Here is an 18,524-nt window from a genome sequence, read left to right as displayed (position 1 = left end):
TCGAATGAAATATGTGATATTTCATTGTTGTTTTAATTTGGGTTTCCCAATTCTTGATGTTAATTTGGATTTTTCTAAAAATATTGAGCATCTTTTCATATATTTCCTATCTGTATACATTTTTGATAAGGTGTCTGTTCAGATCTTTTGCCCATAACTTCATTAACTTATATTTTAGCTTTAAGAGTTATTTGAAAATTTAGCTCTAAGTCTATTTTTCATGTACATGTTTTGCATATATTTTATCCTAGTCTATGTCTTCATCTTTAATTCTGTCAACAATGTCTTTCACAAAGAACTTTTAAACTTTTAATCAAGTCCAAAACATCAATTTTTTAATTTTATGATTCATTATTTTCATGTTACAGCTAAAAATTAACCATCAAACTTAGGGTCACATAGATTTTCCCATATATTTTCTTTTATAATTTTATAATTTTTATTTTATATTTAGAATATACTTTTTATGTCAGTTATACATCAATACAATTTTTTTGTTTGGTTGTTTTCTGGGGGATTTTTGTTGTTTTTGTCAAGATGAGCCTTGTTTTTCAAGACATTTTTGCCAAGTGCATAACTCCTAGGGATTGAACCAGATTAAAGACAGGCTGTCTTCTACTCCAAGCTAGCCTGAACTGAGCAAGATCAAAACTCTGGTAACATTTTTTTCTCCTTCCCATATTCTGGTAACTGCCAGGACCAAACCTCATCTTGGTGTAATCAGCCCTGGAGTATCAGTCTGTTATGTCTCCCTCAGGATGTCGATATCTCTGGGTCTCTGGTAAACTTGAGGACCCCTGAAATTTTAGGTTTATTTTTTGAGACTATCATGGTGAGGAAGGTGAGAAAGGACAGATTGGTTTGTACATGGCATACTTTCAAACTCTTAGGTCCATAATGCTTGAAGCATAATACTATACATGGGTTTTTATGCCAAATTTTATGTCTTTTATAAGGTAACCTGAATTGATTATATAAACTAAAATTCTTCTGTTCTTGTGCAAATCTTACTTAAATAATTGATAACCAGGAAACCAGATTCATAGACTCCTTGGAAACCACAGCATGGTTATCAGAAATGCAGGCAGTTGGGCATAGCTGATATTTGAAAAGCCAGATTTATTATACAGCCAATTTTAATGTTGAAGTACCCTCCCTTTGGTTGAAAATTAGATTTTGTTAATTAAAATCCCATTTATCTAAATTGTATTAGGTTTCCTACAAATCTGAAATGTGAAAAACTGCAAGTGATACTGACATTATAAAGCCAAGTCTGCACAGGATTTGGTGAGTTATAATTTTCAGATGTGTCCTTGGCCTAGCTCTCCCTATGAGGAAAATAAGCATACAATAAAAGACAAAATAAAGTCCAACATTACACTCTGAGAAGACACACAATTTAGAAGCAAGTGGATATCACCATATTGATAAATCCTTATCCTGAATTATTTTGCAGTGGATATTTGAAAGCAGTAAAATGTTATGATAAATGAAAGTTCTGAAACCAGATTTATGGGTTTGTATCTCAGCTCCAAAAATGACTGGATCATTGATGTTGTATATGTTACTTAATCTCTCTGTGCCCCATTTTCTTAACTAATATGTAGCCATAATGTATCAGGGAACCCGCCCTGATGTTCACATAGGTTCTTTTCTATTTTCCTTAAGCATCAGCCGGCCTGAGAAATAAAGGGACAGAGTACAAAGAGAGAAATTTTAAAGCTGGGCATCCGGGGGAGACATCACATGTCGGTAGGTTCTGTGATGCCCCACAAGCTGCAAAAACCAGCAAGTTTTTATTAGGGATTTTCAAAAGGGGAGGGAGTGTGCGAATAGGTGTGGGTCACAGACATCAAGTACTTTACAAGGTAATAGAATGTCACAAGGCAAATGGAGGCAGGGCAAGATCACAGGACCACAGGACCAGGCTGAAATTAAAATTGCTAATGAAGTTTCGGGCACCATTGTCATTGATAACATCTTATCAGGAGACAGGGTTTTGAGAGAAACCAGTCCGACCAAAAATTTATTAGGCAGGAATTTCATCTTCCTAATAAGCCTGGGAGCGCTATGGGAGACGGGTCTATTTCACCCCTACAGCCTCGACCATAGAAGACGGACTCACTTAACGGGGGCCATCTATAGGCCTATACTCCCAGGCGTGTATTCTCTTTCCCAGGGATATTCCTTGCTGAGAAAAATAATTCAGCGATATTTCTCCCATTTGCTTTTGAAAGAAGAGAAATATGGCTCTGTTCCACCTGGGTCACCAGCGGTCAGAGTTTATCTCTCTTATTCCCTGAACAATTGCTGTTATCCTGTTCTTTTTTCAAGGTGCCTAGATTTCATATTTGTTCAAACACACGTGCTCTACAATTTGTGCAGTTAACGCAATTATCACATGGTCCTGAGGTGACATACATCTTCCTCAGCTGACAGGATTAAGAGATTAAACTAAAGACAGCCATAGGAAATCACAAGGGTATTGATTGGGGAAGTGATAAGTGTCCATGAAATCTTCACAATTTGTTTAGAGATTGCAGTAAAGACAGGCATAAGAAATTATAAAATTATTAATTTGGGGAACTAATAAATGTCCATGAAATCTTCACAATCCACGTTCTTCTGCCATGGCTTCAGCCGGTCCCTCCATTTGGGGTCCCTGACTTCCCGCAACAATAATGGGTTCGATTGCTGCCTCTGCTCACAGGAAAATACCTCACTAGTGTAATTTAGTGCTAATTTGGTAGGAATGAGGTTCTTCCTTCACCCTTGTTTTCATCAGGATGTCCAAATTCCCTCCAGGTCTCTTCAGGGGAAGCTTACAAGTGTCCAGGACTCTTGAAGATCAGGTGTTCACTGTTGATAGTAATGCAGGATTTTTTTTGCTCCTTAGCTCAGCTAAAATCTGTGTTCTTGTCTCATGATCAGGAAAATTAGGCAAGCGGACACATGGAAAAGTGAGGAGAGCAGAATGTATTAAAAGAAAGCTCTTAACAAAAAAAGAGGCTGTCCTGCCAACATGTTCCCACCTCACAGACTGAATACCAGACCACCACACATGAGCTGAAGAGACCAGGCTCCTACCCCTACATAAGGTGTGAATTCCTGGTGACTCCACCCCATTCTTCCAGTGTGCATGCAGGCTGTTAGTTTGAGCCACTCCATATTGATTTATTTCCCTCACTGTGCATGGTGTGAAGGGATAGAATTTTTCACCATGGTCAGGTTTAGGCAAGTCCCCTGTGCAGGTTCCCTTATCAGCCTCCTACATCTATCAATAGGTTGGAAGACAGGGGTCCACAATTCACCACAGTTTTATCTCAGGGGTTGCCCAAATCATTTCTTCATTCCTGTTTAATTGTCACATTTCTTTTTCTTCCTCATTTCCACAGACCAGTTTTATTTAAGGAAAAATCTATGTATCCAAAGAAAACCTTCTTCAGTTTAGATTGGCAGTTTCTTTCAACCTCTTTTTTCTTTTCTGTAAGATGGAGGGAGGAAAATTGGCCTTTGGGTGTGAACCCAAACATATCTGAGACAGATCTCAATCAACTGGGAACATTTATTCTGCCAAGGTTAAGGACACACCTGTGATGCCTCAGGAAGTCCTGATGACATATGCCCAAAGTGGTCAGGGCACAGTTCAGTTTTATACATTTTAGGGAGACATGAGACATCAATCAGTATATACAAGATGTATGCTGATTTGTTCTGGAAAGGCAGGACAACTCAAAGCAAGGTAGGAGGCTTCCAGGTCATAGGGAGATAAGAGATAAATGGTTGCATTCTTTTGAGTCTCTGATTAGCCCTTAACTGAATATACAATTTACATGTGAGAGAAGGGTAGAGGCATAGTCATATATGCTTTAGTCTGGCTTAGTGAAACAATAGGCTAAAGGAAGTAATCAGATATGCATTTGTCTCAGTTGAGCAGCAGGATGAGTTTGGGTTCTGTCGGTCCTTTGTCCACAAGGAATTTCCTTGTGGGAAAATTGTGAGGGAGGTATGTAACTTTCTGTTATTTTTGTAGCTATCTTATTTTGGAATAAAATGGGAGGCAGGTTTGCCTGACTCAGTTCCCAACTTGGATTTTCCCTTTGTATTAGTGCTTTTGGAGTCCCTAGATTTATTTTTCTTTCACATTTCCCATCTTTTCTTTTGAAAATCTTTCAGAGAAAGCATTTTAGATGAAATTGAGTCTCTGGTCTCAGGTTTTTTTCTGATCTCTCATGCATAGAATGGTTTATCCCTAAATGGGTTTTTCCCATGTTATTAGGGAAGCTCATTTTTAGCAGGTTGTAAAGTCTCACATCCTGAAAAGAAACAATAGGAGGAGGAAGAGAGAAAAACTACAACAAACAAACAAATAAACAAAAAGTAAAGAACAATTATAGAAAATAGATATAGGCCATATTATTCTGAAGTCCACACATCAGTAGGCAGGTGTAAAGATGGTTTATGAATGTAAATAGGTTGCTATTTTTTTTTAATCTTCAACTATCATTTTAAGTTCAGGTGTACATGTGCAGGACAGGCAGGTTTGTTGCATACGTAAACGTGTTTCATAGTGATTTGCTGCAAGGATCATTACATCACCCAGGTATTAAGCCCAGCATTCATTTGCTGTTCTTCCTGATGCTCTGCCTTCCCCACCCCATCAACAGGCTTCAGTGGGTGTAGATCCCCCCCTTGTGTCCATGTGTTCTCATCACTCAGCTGCCACTTATAAGAGAGAACATGTGGTGTTTGATTTTCTGTCTGTGCATCAGTCTGCTGAGGATAATAACTTCCAGCTTTATCCATGTCCTTGCAAAGGACATGATCTCACTCATTTTTATGGCTGCATAGTATTCCATAGTGTATATGTACCATATTTTATTTGTACAGTGTATCATTGATGGGCATTTAGGTTGAATCCATGTCTTTGCTATTGTGAATAGTGCTGTAATGAACATACGTGTGTATGTAACTTTATTATAGAATGATTTATATTCCTTTGGGTGTATACCTAGAAATGAGATTGCTGGTCTAATGGTATTTATGACTCTAGATCTTTGAAGAATTTCTACAATGTCTTCCACAATGGTCGAACTAATTTACACTCTCATCAACAGTGTAAAATTGTTCCTTTTTCTCTGCAACCTTATCAGTATCTGTTATTTCTAGACTTTTTAATAATAGCCATACTGACTGGCATGAGATGGTATGTCATCGTGGTTTTGATTTGTATTTGTCTAGCAGTCAGTGATATTGATGTTGAGCTCTTTCATATTTTTTTTGGCCACATGTATGTCTTCTTTTGAGAAGTGTCTGTTCATGTACTTTGCCCACTTTTTAATGGGGTGGTTTGTTTTTTTCTTGTAAATTTGTTTAATTTCTTTGTAGATGCTGAATATTAGACTTTTGTTAGAAGAATAGATTATGAAAATATTCTCCCATGATATAGGTTGTCTGTTCTATCTAATAATAGTTTCTTTTGTTGTGCCAAAGCTCTTTAGCTTAGTTAGATCCCATTTGGCAATTTTTGCTTTTGTTGCAATTGTTTTCAGTGTTTTCATCATGAAATCTTCACCTGTGCCCACGTCCTGAATGGTGTTGCCTAGATTTTCTTCTAAGGTTATTATAGTTTTAGGTTTTATGTGCAAGTCTTTAATCCATCTTGAGTTAATTTTTGTATATGGTGCAAGGAAGAGGTCTAGTTTCAATTTTCTGCATATGGCTAGCCAGTTCTCCCAGCACCATTTATTAAATAGGGAATACTTTCCCCAATGCTTGTTTTTGTCAGGTTTGTCAAAAATCAGATGGTTATAGGTGTATGTTCTTATTTCTGAGTTCTCTATTTTGTTCCATTGGTCTATGTGTCTGCTCTTGTACCGGTACCATGCTGTTTTGGGTGCTGTAGCCTTGTAGTATACTTTGAAGTCAGGTAATATGATGCCTCCAGCTTTGAACTTCTTGCTTAGAATTGTGTTGGATATTCAGGCTCATTTTTAGTTCCATAAGAATTTTAAAATAGTTTTTTTCTAATTCTGTGAAGAATATCAATGGTAGTTTAATGAGAATAACATTGAATTATAAATTACTTTGAGCATTATGGGCATTTTTATGATATTGATTTTTCCTATCCATTAGCATGTAATGTTTTTCCATTTCTTTCTGTCCTCTCTGATATCCTTGAGCAGTAGGTTGTAGTTGTCCTTGAAGAGGTCCTTCACTTCTTTTGTTAGCTGTATTCCTAGATATTCTATTCTTTTTGTAGCAACCGTGAATGGGAGTTCATTCATGATTTGGCTCTTTTCTTGCCTCTTATTGGTTGAAGGAATGCTAGTGATTTTTGCAATTGATTTAGTATCTGGAGACTTTGCTGAAGTTGCTTATCAGCTTAAGAAGCTTTTGGGCTGAGACAATGGGGTTTTCTAACTATAGGATTATGTCATCTGCAAATGCTGCAAAGATAGTTTGACTTTCTATCTTCCTATTTGTATAACTTTATTTTTTTTTTTGCCTGCCTTATTACCCTGGCAAGAATTTCCAATACTATATTCAGTAGGAGTGGTGACAGAGTGCATCCTTGCATGACAGTTTTCATGGGGAATTCTTCTAGCTTTTGCTTATTCAGCATGATATTGGCTGTGTTTTGTCATATATGGCTCTTATTATTTTGAGTTATGTTCCTTCAATACCTAGCTTATAAACCGTTTTTAACATAAAGGGATGTTGAATTTTATCAAAGCACTTCTCTGTGTCTACTGAGATAAACATGTGGTTTTTGTCTTTCTGTTTATGTGATGTATTACATTTATTTATTTGCATATGTTGAACCAACCTTGCATCCCAGGGATGAAGCCAGCTTGATTGTGGTGCATAAGCTTTTTGGTGTGCTGCTGGATTCAGTTTGCCTGTATTTTATTGAGGATTTTGCCATCAATGTTCATCAAGAATACTGGCCTGAACTTTTCTTTTTTGTTGTTGTATCTCCACCAGGTTTTGGTATCAGGATGATGCTGGCCTCATAGGATGAGTTAGGGAGTATTCACTCCTTTGTGTTTTTTTTTTGGAATAGTTGCAGTAGGAATGGTACTAGCCCTTCTTTGTGCCTCTGGTAGAATTCAGCTGTGAATCTGTCTAGTCATTGGCTTCTTTTGGTTGGTAGGCTAGTTATTACTGCCTCAATTTTAGAACTTATTATTGGCCTGTTCAGGACTGAATTTCTACCTGGTTTTGTATTGAGAGAGTGTATGTGTCCAGGAATTTATCCATTTCATCTAAATTCTCTAGTTATGTGCACAGAGGTATTTACAGTATTCTCTGATAGTTGTTTGTATTTCTGTGGGGTCAGTGGTAATATCCTCCTTATCATTTCTGAATGTGTTTATTTGATTCTTCTCTCTTTTCGTCTTTATTAGTCTAGCTAGTGGTCTATTTTATTAACTTTTTCAAAATACAGTGTTTGGATTCATTTATCTTTTGAAGGGTTTTTCATGTCTCTATCTCCTTCAGTTCAGCTCTGATCTTGATTATTTCTTGTCTTCTGCAAGCTTTGGGGCTTGTTTGCTATTAGTTCTCTAGTTCTTTAATTATGATGTTAGTATGTTAACTTGAGCTCTTTCTACCTTTTTGATGTGGGCATTTAGTGCTACAAATTTCCCTCTTAACACTGCTTTATTTAGCTGCATTCCAGAGATTCTGGCATTTGTCTTTTTGTTCTCATTCGTTTCAAAGAACTTCTTGACTTTTGACTTAATTTCATTATTTACCAGAGTCATTCATGAGCAGGTTATTCAATTTTCATGTAACTGTGTGGTTATGAATGAGTTTCTTAATCTTAAGTTGCAACATGATTGCTCTGTGATCTGAGAGATTGTTTGTTATGATTTCAGTTCTTTTGCATTTGCTGAGGAGTATTTTCTGATTATGAAATCAATTTTAGAGTAAGTGTCATGTGGCAATGAGAAGAATGTATATTATGTTGTTTTGGGATGAAGATTTCTGTAGATACCTATCAGGCCCACGTGATCTAGAACTGAGTTCAGGTCCTGAATATTTTTCTTAATTTTCTGTGTAGATGCTCTGTCTAATATTGTCAGTGGGATGTTAAAGTTTCCCACTATTACTGTGTGGGAGTCTAAGTCTCTTTGTATGTCTTTTAGAACTTGCTTTATAAATCTGATTTCTCCTGTATTGAGTGTATATATATTTAGGAGAGTTAGTTCTTCTTGTTGAATTGAACCGTTTACCAATATGTAATGCCCTTTTTTTTTTTTTTTTTTTTTTTGAGATGGAGTCTCATTCTGTTTCCCAGGCTGAAGTGCAGTGGTGCAATCTTGGCTCACTACAACCTTCGCCCACTGGGTTCAAGCAATTCTTCTGCCTCAGCCTCCCTACTAGCTGGGATTACAAGCATGCACCACCATACCCAGCTAATTTCTGTATTTTTAGTAGAGATGGGGTTTTGCCCTGTTGGCTAGGCTGGTCTCAAACTCCACCTCAAGTGATCCACCCACCTCAGCCTCCCACAGTACTGGAATTACAGGTGAGAGCTACTGCACCCAGCCTCTTCTTTGTCTTCTTTGATCTTTGTTGATTTAAAGTCTATTTTGTCAGAAACTAGGATTGCAACCCCTGTTTTTCTGTTTGTTTGTTTTCCAATTGCTTGGCAAATTTTTCTACATCCCTTTATTTTGAGCCTATGTGTGCCTTTTCATGTGAGTAGGGTCTCTTGAAGACAACATACTGATGGGCCTTGGTTCTTTATCCAGTTTGCCATACTGTGCCTTTTAATTGGGGCATTTAGCCCATTTAAATTTAAGATTGGTATTTTTATGTGTGAATTTGATCCTGACAACATGATGCTAGCTTGTTATTTTGCAGATTTGTTTATGTAGTTGCTGCCTAGTGTCACTGGTCTTCACACTTCAGTAAGTTTTTGTAGTGGCTGGTAATGGTTTTTATTTTCCATATTTAGTGCTTCCTTCAGGAGTGCTTGCTAGGTAGGCCTAGTGTTGATGAGTTCCCTAGCCTTTGCTTGTCTGAAAAGCATCTTATTTCTCCTTTGCTTATAAAGCTTAGTTCGGCTGGATATATGAAATTTGGGGTTGGAAATTCTTTTTTTTAAGAATGTTGAATATTGGTCCCCAATCTCTTTTGTCCTGTAGGAATTCTGCTGAGAGGTCCACTGGTTATTCTGATGGGGTTACCCTTGTAGGTGACCTGGCCTTTCTCTCTGGCTGTCCTTAACATTTTTTCTTTCATTTCTACCTTGGATAATCTCATAATTATGTGTATTGGGGTTGATCTTCTCAGAGTATCTTACTAGGCTTCTCTGCATTTCCTAAATTTGAATGTTGGCCTGTCTTGCTAGGTTGAGGAAGTTCTCCTGGATGATATCCTGAAGTATGTTTTCCAACTTGGTTCCATTCTCCCTGTCTCTTTCAGGTATCCCAATCAATAGTAGGTTTGGTCTCTTCACATATCCCACATATCTCATAGGTTTTGTTCATTCCTTTTGTTCTTTTTTTCTCTATTCTTGTCTGCCTGTCTTATTCCAGAATGATAGTCTTCAAGCTCTGAGATTCTTTCCTCTACTTGGTCTATTCTGCTATTGATGCTTGTGATTGCATCATGAAGTTCTTGTGTTGTGTTTTTAGCTGCATCAGGTCGGCTGTGTTCTCTCTAAGCTGGCTCTTCTGGCTATCAGCTCCTGTATTGTTTTATCATGATTCTTAGCTTTTTTTGCATTGGGTTATAACATGCTGCTTTAGCTCAATGAATTTTCATTATTAACCACCTTCTGAAACCTACTTCTGTCAATTCAGCCATCTCAGCCTCAGCCCAGTTCTTTGCCCTTGCTGAACAGGTGTTGCAGTCATTTGGAAGAGAATAGGCACTCTGGCATTTTTGTGTTGATTCTTCCTCATCTTTGTGGACTAACCCACCTTTGATCTTTGAGGTTGCTGACCTTTAAATGGAGTTTTGTGGGTCCTTTTGGTTGATGTTGCTGTTGGTGTTTTCTGTTGTTTTTTCTTCTTTTAGAATCAGGCCACTCTTTCATAGCACTGCTGCAGTTTGTTGGGTGTTTACTCCAGATCCTAGGTGTCTCATTTATTCCCATACCTGGAGGTATCACCAATGAAGGCTGTGAAATGGCACAGATGGCACCCTGCTCCTTCCTCTGGAAGCTCCATTCCAGGGGGTACTGACCTATTGTCAGCCGAATGTATTTGTAGGAGGTGACTGGAGATCCATGTTGTGAGGTCTCAACCATTCTGGAGGAACAGAATCTGGAACCCACTTAAAGAAGTAGTCTGGCTGCTTTTTGGTATATCAGGTGTGCTGCACTGGGGAGAGGGAGAATCCTTCCTTTTCTGGACCATTTGGATTCTCCAAAGCTGGCAGGCTGGAATGGCTGAGTCAATAGAACTGCACAGATGGCAGCTGCCCCTTCCCATGGGAGCACCATTCCAGGTAGGGTTCAGAGCTCTGTTCATATAACCCTGGCTAGAGTGGCTGAAGCCCTCACAGGGAGGTCCTTCCCAGTGAGAAGGAATGAATCGGGGTCCTGCTTTAAAAGGCAGTCTGGTCACAATGTGGCAAAGCAATTTTGCTGCACTGTGGGTGATGCTTCCTTGTCTGGACCATTTGGATTCTCCAAATCTGGTGGGCTGGAATGGCCAAGTTGACCAAACCACAGAGATGGTGGTGACCTCTCTCCCCAGAAACTCAGTCCTTTCTCAGGCAGACTCCAGCCTGTTGCCATTGGCTGACTGGAATTCCAATCCATTAGGTTTTAACTTATGAGGTGCTATGGAAGTGAGGCCCAGAGAACAATGCTACCTGGTTCCCTGGATTCAGCCCCCTTCCTAGGGATATGTACAGACAGATTTCCTGCCTTGTCAGGAATCTTAGGGTGAAGTATGTAAAACTCCTGGGTCTCTGTGTGTGCCTGAGTGACTACTCTGCCGAAACTCCACATGGCTCTGTTTATCAGACCTAAAGCCTTGATGGCGTGAGGTCACGAGGAGATCTCCTGATCCACAGGTTGCAAAGATCCATGGGAGGACCCCTGCTTTCCTGAGCAGAGTCTCATAATCACTCACCATTTCCCTTGGATGAGGGTGGGAAGTTGACTCTGACTCTGTGCCACCCCCGGGTAGGCCATCACACCACCATGCTTTTCTTCATTCATCATAGGTCGAGTGGTTTGCCTACTCAATCCCAATGCAAGAACCTGAAACACACAATTCTTTCCCAAACAGTCTAGCTCCAGAGTCTGGACTCATAACCACTTCACCATGCTCCATCCACTGGATGTACACTTTTGCCTCATGAATTGTTTTCCTGAGCTGCTGTTCACAGTGTCCGCAGTGTCTGCCAGAAAGTCACCAAAGTTGCTAATATTTTCTTCAGAAGTTTTTCCAGCTTCAGTTCACAGGGTTTTTAAAAAGCACATCTTAAGTTTTAGTAATTTCAATTATGGATAAATGGGGAAAAAGATATAAAAGAAGGAAATAATTAAACTGTAGCAAATAATAAAAAATGAAAAACATTAGGCAAGACAAGAGTCTAATAATAGGTGTACTATAGTTTATTTTGAAATATAATTCTTCTCTCTCCAATCCCTGTTTTCATTAATGACAAATCACAGGACAAAGTTACGTCTAAAATAAATGTTAGTCTTATCATACTTGGCCTGAATATTTGCATAGAGTCAGCAAGAATAATCATTTGCTATATAGGCTCTTTTTAATGGCTCTGCTGGAAGTTTATTTAATAAGGAATCTCAGATTAGACTTTAGTGCCTTGAGCCCAGCCTGTGCCTGCAAACACCTGTATTAATTGGATGAATTCCTCACCGCAAAGTCTCAAAATGACTTGGGGAGCATGTACTGGTCAGAAAGTGATATTCTTTATTCACCACAGGTCAGGAACCTGTACAGGGGCTGTGTAGAAAAGATATGAGGGCAGCTTTCCCAAGGGGCTTTTACTGTCTCTGTAAGTCAACTCAGATCCCATAAAGCAATGTGTTTATATCTGAAAGTATGCCATTAAACTTAAAGTCCTTCAGGGGCTTTGAGGTCAATAAAAAAAACAGATCCTTACTGAACTTATGTAAATAACTGTACTGCAATAAACTAAGTATACTTGCAGATAGTTTTCAAACTTTGAAGAAATATGGTAGAGAGAATTATTCTTCAGATTTTGTGCACCTGACTGTAGTTTACCCAATTGTTAAAAGCCGTGAATAGCCCACAGACAAAGGGTTTTCTGGACTCTGAAACAAGAGTTGCCAATATTTCAAACAAAGTCATAAAAAGATTATTTCAATCTTCCATTAGTTTTAGTCTATGTAATTCACTCCTCTTCTACTTCATGTTTATGAACACATTAGCTCTCTGTGGGAGTCTTGGAAGTTTTTCCTCTATTCTCAGGTCACAATCTCCAAAGTTATCAGAAACCTGCATTCAAGAGCATCTGTCAGAGTCCTATAGCTGATTATAAAAACATTTATTGAAAAACAGAAAAGTAAAACAACTGTGGATTACAAGAGTCTCAAAACAGTCAAGGTTAAAAACACAATTCACAAGGAAATTTTGTTACTTCTGTGGCATACAAAGATCTTATATAATAATCATAATTACTACTAAAAATGTATGCTAAGATATATTAGAATCACAGGAACCTCATGCAATCCTGGAACAGACACTAATAACACATTTATATGAATATAATCCGAATAAGGTTAAACCCCATTTCATATTTGACAATACAATAGCCTGAAATCCAAAAGAAACATATTCAGCTTTGTTATAATAAAATGATTTTATTTGACAATGATTTTATTATATCAAGCAAGCCAAATATCTCTCTTTTGGACTTCAAGGGGACCTAACATCAAAGTTAATGACAACCAAAGTTAGAGTTTGATTTTGGAAAGTTTGTCAAATATAAATAGCTTAAAACACTTGATATCACAAAGTAGAATCACAGGTAATTGTAAAATAAGTCATTAATTTAGCCAAAGTGATAACTCAAAGATTTCAAAAAAAGGCAAAAATCTCATTCTTTGAGAGAGGAGGCTTTATTTCCCAAACAATAATCCCTAATAATAAAGACACCATGAGGCCAATTAAACCCATCTCTCAAAATTTTATAAACAAAATCTATTAAATTTTAATCATCTTGGTCATAAGATATGATTTCCATAAATCTTTTTATAATCTTTATAGTTATTTATTAAGGAGTGGGTTAATGCTCCAAGAAAACCTTGTTAATCTGACACATGGGCCCAAATATTGGTTTTGCATCAGTGTGCCTTTGAAATTAAGTTAATTTATTTAAAAGCAGAACTAATTTTGTCTCAAAATTGGCCCTTACAATCTCACACCCACCTCTTTCATGACAGTCTCTGGGCCTTGAAGATTTGAATAGTTTTAAATTCTGACCCTGTGTCTCACAAACACAGTTTATTTTGATTGGCATCTTTTATTGGGTCTAAAGATGAGGCTTTAACTACAGTCAGTGTTTAAGATTTAGCAGGATTTGTTGTTTTTTTTAAACCCAGGAATCAAAGTGCTATAACTTAATGGCAGAGGACTTTAAAAGCAAATACAGAAAATTACATGGACATAATAACCTTAATTAATTTTTTAATCTCAGTTTTTTTAAACAAATCAAAACTTAATAACAATGACATAGGAATTATTCTGATAAATGGTTAGGCCAGTTACCAAAAGGCAAAAGAAAAGACATGCAGTGATTGCTGTTCTCCATGGGGAGTCCATTTAGTTAACCTGCAAATCAAAACCAAGGAAAAGGGTATTTGAGTTAGTTAAACATAGGAGGAATGTTTCCTGGGTCATAAGTGAAAATTTTCAGATTCATAGAACAATTTCAAGCCAAGAGCACAGAATGTTATGTTGGAAGAAAACATTTCCTTTAGACCTTTAAGATAAAACATTTTTAGCATCAGACCACAACAGCAGTTAGAACCTAAGGGAGAAAGAAAAAAAATTGCAGAAGCTAAAAATGAGTTGAAGAAGACAGTTATTATTTCAGGCCTTTTTAAAGTGAGAGACTGCTGAAAACATCAAGACACAATAAAAGTTTAACTTTGCTTTAAAAAATAAATGTCTTGTAATTTTATTAAGATGCGTTGCAACTGTAAGAGCAGAGGACTACATATAGAATTAGAGAAAATAACAAGATTGATTAATACTTCTATATGTAATTTCCAATATATGTTAATACCCAGAGCCCAGTGATTGATAGACACATAGTAAGAGTTCGACAGACTTACGTTACTACCTAATCACAATCACCCTTGTGATAACACAGGGTTTTTTTCTAATTTGAAAGCTCAGAAAATATTATGAATCTCTGGCTAGAGATGCACCAAAAAAGAGAACTCGATTGACCATTTGAGACAGCCACCAATAATAAAGAGACTAAAAAACAGAGTAAAACAAGGGTTTGAAGGAAAGAAGGCAGAAGATTTCTGAATGCATTCTTTAACTGACTTTTATTTTCTCATATATTTTGCTAAGTGCCAATGGAAAGTTATTCAATGAACAGCAAGAAAGGCAACTTGCTTGACTTTGAGTATCAGTCTCTCTAGAGCCTGGAGCTGACACTGGATGTTCCAGATGGTGCCAAGTCAAGGATTTACTCCAGGAACCATGTAGGAAGGCCTCTAACATGTTTTTTTTGTTTGTTTGTTTTTGTCGTTGTTGTTTTTTTCCAGCCCAAGTAATTTGCAAGTCACTTCTGGGTAAAGCAAATTTTAAAAAGAGAAGGAAAATTATTTTACGGTATTAATTGATGGCAATCAACCAGACAAATAACTGTAGCTAAAAGATTGAAACCCCCCCCACCACCACTTATATATTCAGTCAGTTTTGTAACTTATGTTTTATTTCTTAAGCCATACTTGGGTCAGTTTTACATGTGTTTATAAACTAGAGTCGTACATTTTACTTAAACAGATTATCAAGCCCACATCTTTTCCTTTAATTTTCATAAAACTCTAGGATAGTCTCTTGGGCTATCTTGAGGCTAAAGTGACTTGATCATATTTTAAAATTTGTTTTCAATAAACATGCAGGTTTTTTTGCAAGGAAACTCAGCTTGATTTTTACGTAATAATAGTCTATTGCATATGATTTACATGTTAACTATTATGCTGTTACTCTCTTTGCTATAATTAAAGTTAGCATTTTATTATAAAATCCTATTACCTAAGTTTTACAGCATGACAGTAAATATTCCCTGAAGCTAATAATAACCTATCCAATTATTTGCATTTATTTTTTATATATTGAAATGTAAATTTGTTTCTGGGTATTTTCTCAAAGTATGGGGATAGTAAAAAGTTTAGAAAGTTTCATATTTGTTTTATTTTAATTTCTTAGTTTTAAGTCAAGATTTACTCTGGTTTTATCATTATTGAGCATTTTCATTAACAGTTGCTTTATCTTTACTAAAATTAGTTTGGGTCATATATATTTGAAGTAGCATTTTCTATATGAAAACCACCTTTACCATCTGTGGTACCATCTTTACCTCACCATTTGTGTGGGCTCTGAACAATCCAACTAGTTCTGAGTAGTGTTCTTGTAGCAGAGATAGACCTTTTCAGAACTTTGCTAAGGGCCAACACTCAGCCAGTCTTAAAAATTTACAGACACAAGGACAACTCCAATGAACAAATGTCACTTACTTTCACTTTCCAAAACATAAACCATGTCCACTCTCTCTTGTAAATCCACCTTTCCTACCTTTGAAGGAAATACTCTAAAAAGAATTTGTGATAACATGGATTCATTGTCAAGAGGCCTAAGTCCTAGCTGGCAGTCTGTCCAAGAAAAAAATCTTTTGACTTCTGTAAAATTCAGTTCACGGTATGAAGGTTTTGACAGATAATTTATTGTCTTGTTTTGTTTTAAAATTTTCAGATTCTAAGAGTTAAAATTTCAATGTCAAAAAAGCTGTGTCTAAATCCCAAATCTATTCTGATTAGCTCTGTTAGCTGGCCAATTAACTTTCCTGAGGTTAGATTTCTCATCTGTGAAACAAGATATTGATGGCAGCGGTGGTCTGTCTAGAGCGGTCGCTGCCATCACACCAGCTGCAGCTGGGAGGCAAGGTTGTTGGCGGCAGGAGTGGCTGCTGGAGCAGCAGTGGTAACAGTGCCCTGTGCCCTGCATCCCTGAGGCAAGCGACTACACCACCCCCACTCTCGCATGGTTGAGCAGGACCCACTCCCAGGCCCAGAGCCTCTGCCACTCTGAACCCTGGTACCGCATCACCGCTCTCCCCCGCTGTATGCTGCAGGGTAAACATGGAGAAGAGGCGGGTAGTCCTCAGAGCCTGACCCTGGGAGCAGCCTGCCAGAGCCCGCTGCCCTGGTAGCCAGCGCATTGCTCTTGGCAGGAAAGCAGTGTGGTCAGGCACGGAGGAGTAGGCAGAGAGGGACCCAGTGAGGACCTGGAGCCCCCACCTTAGGCTACGAGGAGGCATGGTTTGGGTTGCACGCTCCACAGAGCTGTCAGGAGCCAGGGACAAGTGAGAGCCCTGCCCCTTTCGAGTTGGCAGGGTGAAAGCTCGCCAGGTGCAGTGGCAGCCTCTGTGCCACCGCTGTGGACCCAGGCATCTTTGCACTCTTAGGGATCTACGGAGGCCCTCTGCCCCGCACAGGCTCAGAAGTGTCTGCTTCCACTGCCTGGCCTCTCCCTGCTCCTCTTGTCTGCTCTGATCTCAGAGCAAGTATGGGCCTGGGTGCTATCACAGCCAGGTCGGGTGTGTGCACGCTTGGGGCACTGCTGGCATGCCAGCCCCCTGCTTCCTTAGCCCACTCCAGACTTTGGGCACCAACGAGCATGGGAGGGAGGCTGAGGTAGGAAGGACTGAGGACAGCCCGGAGCTGGACTGCAGGTGCTCCTGACATGAACAGCCTGCGTGCCATAAATGGTGGCAGGAGGCAGACAGGCTCCTGGGTAGAAGGAAGTGGGTACCCAGTGAAGCCCTACCTTCAAGCCTGAAGCCTGGGGGCCAGGGAGCCAGTCCTCTGGACTGGAGTGGGAATGTGTGGTGCTTTTCCCTGGGCCCACGCATGGCCTCCCATGGACCAATCAGCACACATTTCCTCCCCTCTGAGATCCATAAAAACCCTGGACTCAGCCTAACTTGAAGAAAGGGCAGAGAGAGGTCAGGGAGACGACAGGTCAACCAGCTGCAGAGAGGAGCTGCCCGCCCCAGGTTCTCCTGTCTGCTGAGAGCTGAGGAGACAATGGTACGACTAGCTGCAGAGAGGAACTACCCTCTCTGGTGAAAGATGAACTCTCATCAGGAGGACCTGCCAACCCATAGTTGACCACTTGTCGGGACACCCTGGCTATGGAGAGGAGCTGCTCACTGCAGGCCTCCTCTGAGCTCTTCTATTGCTCAATAAAGCTCCTCTTTGTCTTGCTCAACCTCCACTTGTCCATGTACCTCATTCTTCCTAGATGCAGGAGAAGAACTCGAGGCCCATTGAATGGAAAGGCTAAAAGAATTGTAACACAAATAGGACTGAAACATATCTCTTGCTCACCACATTTCAGGGAAAAAGAAGGAGAGAAGAGCTGTGGCCCTTCAGGGATCCCAGACATAGGAGCTCCCCAAACAAAGGCCGTGACTCCCTCTTTGGGACCCTGTGGTTCCTGGTGTCTCCAAACTTCTAGGCACCACCACAATCTCTGGTGCCAGCTGGGGAAGCTGCTTATGGTGCCCCTGGTTCAGCTGCAGCCTCTCAGAGAGCTGGCATCTGTACCAACACTTGGAGCTGCCCAATCCATGACAGTAGCCGGCACACCTAACTGTGCACAGTGGCCTGACCCCACACTTGCTCACACATCCCTCACTGCTCCATGCCTGACTCACAGTCTCCCTTGGAGGTGTGGGATCCAAGCTAGTAGTGTGAGCCCAAGTGTAGTCTGCCAGGCTGAGAGGGCAGCATGAGGCCAGTGGGCCTAAGAAAAACTTGAGCAAAGGTGCCACTAGCCACAGAGTTTTCCAACCAGGAAAGCAACACCCCAAAGATCCCATAACAGTATCAGATCTTCATGTGCTTTTCCAGTTAAAACATAAGTCATATAAGCTGCCACCTGTGGTGGGCAGCTCCTCTCTGCTGCTGGTTGACCCGTCATCTCCCTGATGTCTCTCCGCCCTTTCTTCAAGTCATGTAGTTATGTATCTTTTAATCTTATAACTAGTAACATAAGTTACTAGATTCATATATAGTAGCAGTGAGATATAAAGAAAACTACAAGTGATGGCATGTTGGATGTATATATTTTATTCTACTCTTTCCTTAAATACTATTAGTGACACCTGGAAAAAAATGTTCACGAGGTAAAAAATAACAAGGACAAAGAAATGGAAGAAGACACAATGGCAAAAAAATGTAAAAGCTGGAAAGCTGAAATAGGAAGGATGACTGATTGGGTCCACCCAAGAAGACTGAACCCTAAGGCAACAGTGAGCAA

At 39.3% G+C, this 18,524-nt stretch overlaps 2 annotated features.

The window, feature by feature from the left end:
• Positions 17,296-17,796: an enhancer, noted in NCBI's record as "H3K27ac hESC enhancer chr6:96083597-96084097 (GRCh37/hg19 assembly coordinates)". NCBI's record gives its function as "activates a minimal SCP1, AML or CMV promoter by ChIP-STARR-seq in primed H9 embryonic stem cells {active_cell/tissue: H9 hESC(primed)}" and the evidence as "EXISTENCE:reporter gene assay evidence [ECO:0000049][PMID:30033119]".
• Positions 17,797-18,297: an enhancer, noted in NCBI's record as "H3K27ac hESC enhancer chr6:96083096-96083596 (GRCh37/hg19 assembly coordinates)". NCBI's record gives its function as "activates a minimal SCP1, AML or CMV promoter by ChIP-STARR-seq in primed H9 embryonic stem cells {active_cell/tissue: H9 hESC(primed)}" and the evidence as "EXISTENCE:reporter gene assay evidence [ECO:0000049][PMID:30033119]".

The sequence above is a fragment of the Homo sapiens genome, chromosome 6 (genome assembly GCF_000001405.40).
Source record: "Homo sapiens chromosome 6, GRCh38.p14 Primary Assembly".
NCBI lineage: Eukaryota > Metazoa > Chordata > Mammalia > Primates > Hominidae > Homo > Homo sapiens.
Note: the sequence above shows the minus strand (reverse complement) of the source record. Positions and strands in the feature narration are given on the sequence as shown.